The following is a 2849-nucleotide window of genomic DNA, read 5'->3' as shown; positions in this document are numbered from 1 at the left end:
TTTGCTTGGTAGATCTTCCTCCATCCTTTTATTTTGAGCCTATGTGTGTCTCTGTACATGAGATGGGTTTCCTGAATACAGCACACTGATGGGTCTTGACTCTTTATCCAATTTGCCAGTCTGTGTCTTTAAATTGGAGCATTTAGTCCATTTACATTTAAAGTTAATACTGTTATGTGGAATTTGATCCTGTCATTATGATGTTAGCTGGTTATTTTGCTCGTTAGTTGATGCACTTTCTTCCTAGTCTTGATGGTCTTTACATTTTGGCATGATTTTGCAGCGGCTGGTACCAGTTGTTCCTTTCCATGTTTAGCGCTTCCTTCAGGAGCTCTTTTCGGGCAGGCCTGGTGGTGAAAAATCTCTCAGCATTTGCTTGTCTGTAAAGTATTTTATTTCTCCTTTGCTTATGAAGCTTAGTTTGGCTGGATATGAAATTCTGGGTTGAAAATTCTTTTCTTTAAGAATGTTGAATATTGGCCCCCACTCCCTTCTGGCTTGTAGGGTTTCTGCTGAGAGATCCGCTGTTAGTCTGATGGGCTTCCGTTTGAGGGTAAGCCGACCTTTCTCTCTGGCTGCCCTTAACATTTTTTCCTTCATTTCAACTTTGGTGAATCTGACAATTATGTGTCTTGGAGTTGCTCTTCTCCAGGAGTATCTTTGTGGCGTTCTCTGTATTTCCTGAATCTGAACGTTGGCCTGCCTTGCTAGATTGGGGAAGTTCTCCTGGATAATATCCTGCAGAGTGTTTTCCAACTTGGTTCCATTCTCCCCGTCACTTTCAGGTACACCAATCAGACGTAGATTTGGTCTTTTCACATAGTCCCATATTTCTTGGAGGCTTTGCTCATTTATTTTTATTCTTTTTTCTCTAAACTTCCCTTCTTGCTTCATTTCATTAATTTCATCTTCCATTGCTGATACCCTTTCTTCCAGTTGATCGCATCGGCTCCTGAGGCTTCTGCGTTCTTCACGTAGTTCTCGAGCCTTGGTTTTCAGCTCCATCAGCTCCTTTAAGCACTTCTCTGTATTGGTTATTCTAGTTATACATTCTTCTAAATTTTTTTCAAAGTTTTCAACTTCTTTGCCTTTGGTTTGAATGTCCTCCCGTAGCTCAGAGTAATTTGATCGTCTGAAGCCTTCTTCTCTCAGCTTGTCAAAGTCATTCTCCATCCAGCTTTGTTCCGTTGCTGATGAGGAACTGCGTTCCTTTGGAGGAGGAGAGGCGCTCTGCTTTTTGGAGTTTCCAGTTTTTCTTTTCTGTTTTTTCCCCATCTTTGTGGTTTTATCTACTTTTGGTCTTTGATGATGGTGATGTACAGATGGGTTTTTGGTGTGGATGTCCTTTCTGTTTGTTAGTTTTCCTTCTAACAGACAGGACCCTCAGCTGCAGGTCTGTTGGAATACCCTGCCATATGAGGTGTCAGTGTGCCCCTGCTGGGGGGTGCCTCCCAGTTAGGCTGCTCGGGGGTCAGGGGTCAGGGACCCACTTGAGGAGGCAGTCTGCCCATTCTCAGATCTCCAGCTGCGTGCTGGGAGAACCACTGCTCTCTTCAAAGCTGTCAGACAGGGACATTTAAGTCTGCAGAGGTTACTGCTGTCTTTTTGTTTGTCTGTGCCCTGCCCCCAGAGGTGGAGCCTACAGAGGCAGGCAGGCCTCCTTGAGCTGTGGTGGGCTCCACCCAGTTCGAGCTTCCCAGCTGCTTTGTTTACCTAAGCAAGCCTGGGCAATGGCAGGCGCCCCTCCCCCAGCCTCGCTGCCACTTTGCAGTTTGATCTCAGACTGCTGTGCTAGCAATCAGCGAGACTCCGTGGGCGTAGGACCCTCCGAGCCAGGTGTGGGATATAATCTCGTGGTGCGCCGGTTTTTAAGCCCGTCGAAAAAGCGCAGTATTCGGGTGGGAGTGACCTGATTTTTCCAGGTGCCGTCCGTCAACCCTTTCTTTGACTTGGAAAGGGAATTCCCTGACCCCTTGCGCTTCCCAAGTGAGGCAATGCCTCGCACTGCTTCGGCTCGCGCACAGTGCGCGCACCCACTGACCTGCGCCCACTGTCTGGCACTCCCTAGTGAGATGAACCCAGTACCTCAGATGGAAATGCAGAAATCACTGTCTTCTGCGTCGCTCACGCTGGGAGCTGTAGACCGGAGCTGTTCCTATTCGGTCATCTTGGCTCCTCCCTTATAATGAATTTTTTATTCACTTCCCTTCTCTATTTTAAATTAAGAAATCATCAGAGACTCTCCTTACTATCACTTATTTTCACCACTCGTTTAGTGCTTCATTTTCTAGCGTCATTCCCCACCATCCTCTCCCTTAATTTTTTTTTCATTTCTTTTGTAATTTCTAGGCAAAAAGGATTGCCAGCTCCCCAAAAGTGCCAAACTTTATCATGCCTCTATGCAGGCATACAGCCTTTCCCTCTACCTGGAATGACTTTTCCTCCGTCTTTGCCACACCTCATAACCTGCCTTTTCCACTGGGCTTTCTTAGTCATGCTTAAAGACAGCTTTTCCACTTTCTCCTTGAGTCCTTTCCACACCTGTACCCTTTCCCCCAGGCAGAGTGATTAGCAATTCCTTTTTCCTTGGGGATGAGCCAGAAGTATGAGTAGGAAAATCCCTTCTCTTTGGATGCAGACAGAAGAGTCAAGAGAGAAGGACAGAATTTGAAGTCCAACAAATCCAATCTGATGGATTCATTTGCACGAGTTTTTCTGTTCAGGACTGGGGACGGAGAAGTCCTCTGACTTTCGTTTTTCCATGGTGGTCTATTGCTGATCACTCTGTGCTTTCCTTGGTCTTTTCAGAGAGACACATCATTTATTTAGAAACATTAATATTACTGATT

General features: G+C 45.8%; 2 annotated features.

Annotated features, from left to right (window-relative positions):
- Positions 1136–1801: an enhancer, noted in NCBI's record as "H3K27ac-H3K4me1 hESC enhancer chr1:186606843-186607508 (GRCh37/hg19 assembly coordinates)". NCBI's record gives its function as "activates a minimal SCP1, AML or CMV promoter by ChIP-STARR-seq in naive and primed H9 embryonic stem cells {active_cell/tissue: H9 hESC(naive and primed)}" and the evidence as "EXISTENCE:reporter gene assay evidence [ECO:0000049][PMID:30033119]".
- Positions 1802–2467: an enhancer, noted in NCBI's record as "H3K27ac-H3K4me1 hESC enhancer chr1:186606177-186606842 (GRCh37/hg19 assembly coordinates)". NCBI's record gives its function as "activates a minimal SCP1, AML or CMV promoter by ChIP-STARR-seq in naive and primed H9 embryonic stem cells {active_cell/tissue: H9 hESC(naive and primed)}" and the evidence as "EXISTENCE:reporter gene assay evidence [ECO:0000049][PMID:30033119]".

Source organism: Homo sapiens, chromosome 1, assembly GCF_000001405.40.
Source record: "Homo sapiens chromosome 1, GRCh38.p14 Primary Assembly".
Taxonomy (NCBI): Eukaryota; Metazoa; Chordata; class Mammalia; order Primates; family Hominidae; genus Homo; species Homo sapiens.
Note: the sequence above shows the minus strand (reverse complement) of the source record. Positions and strands in the feature narration are given on the sequence as shown.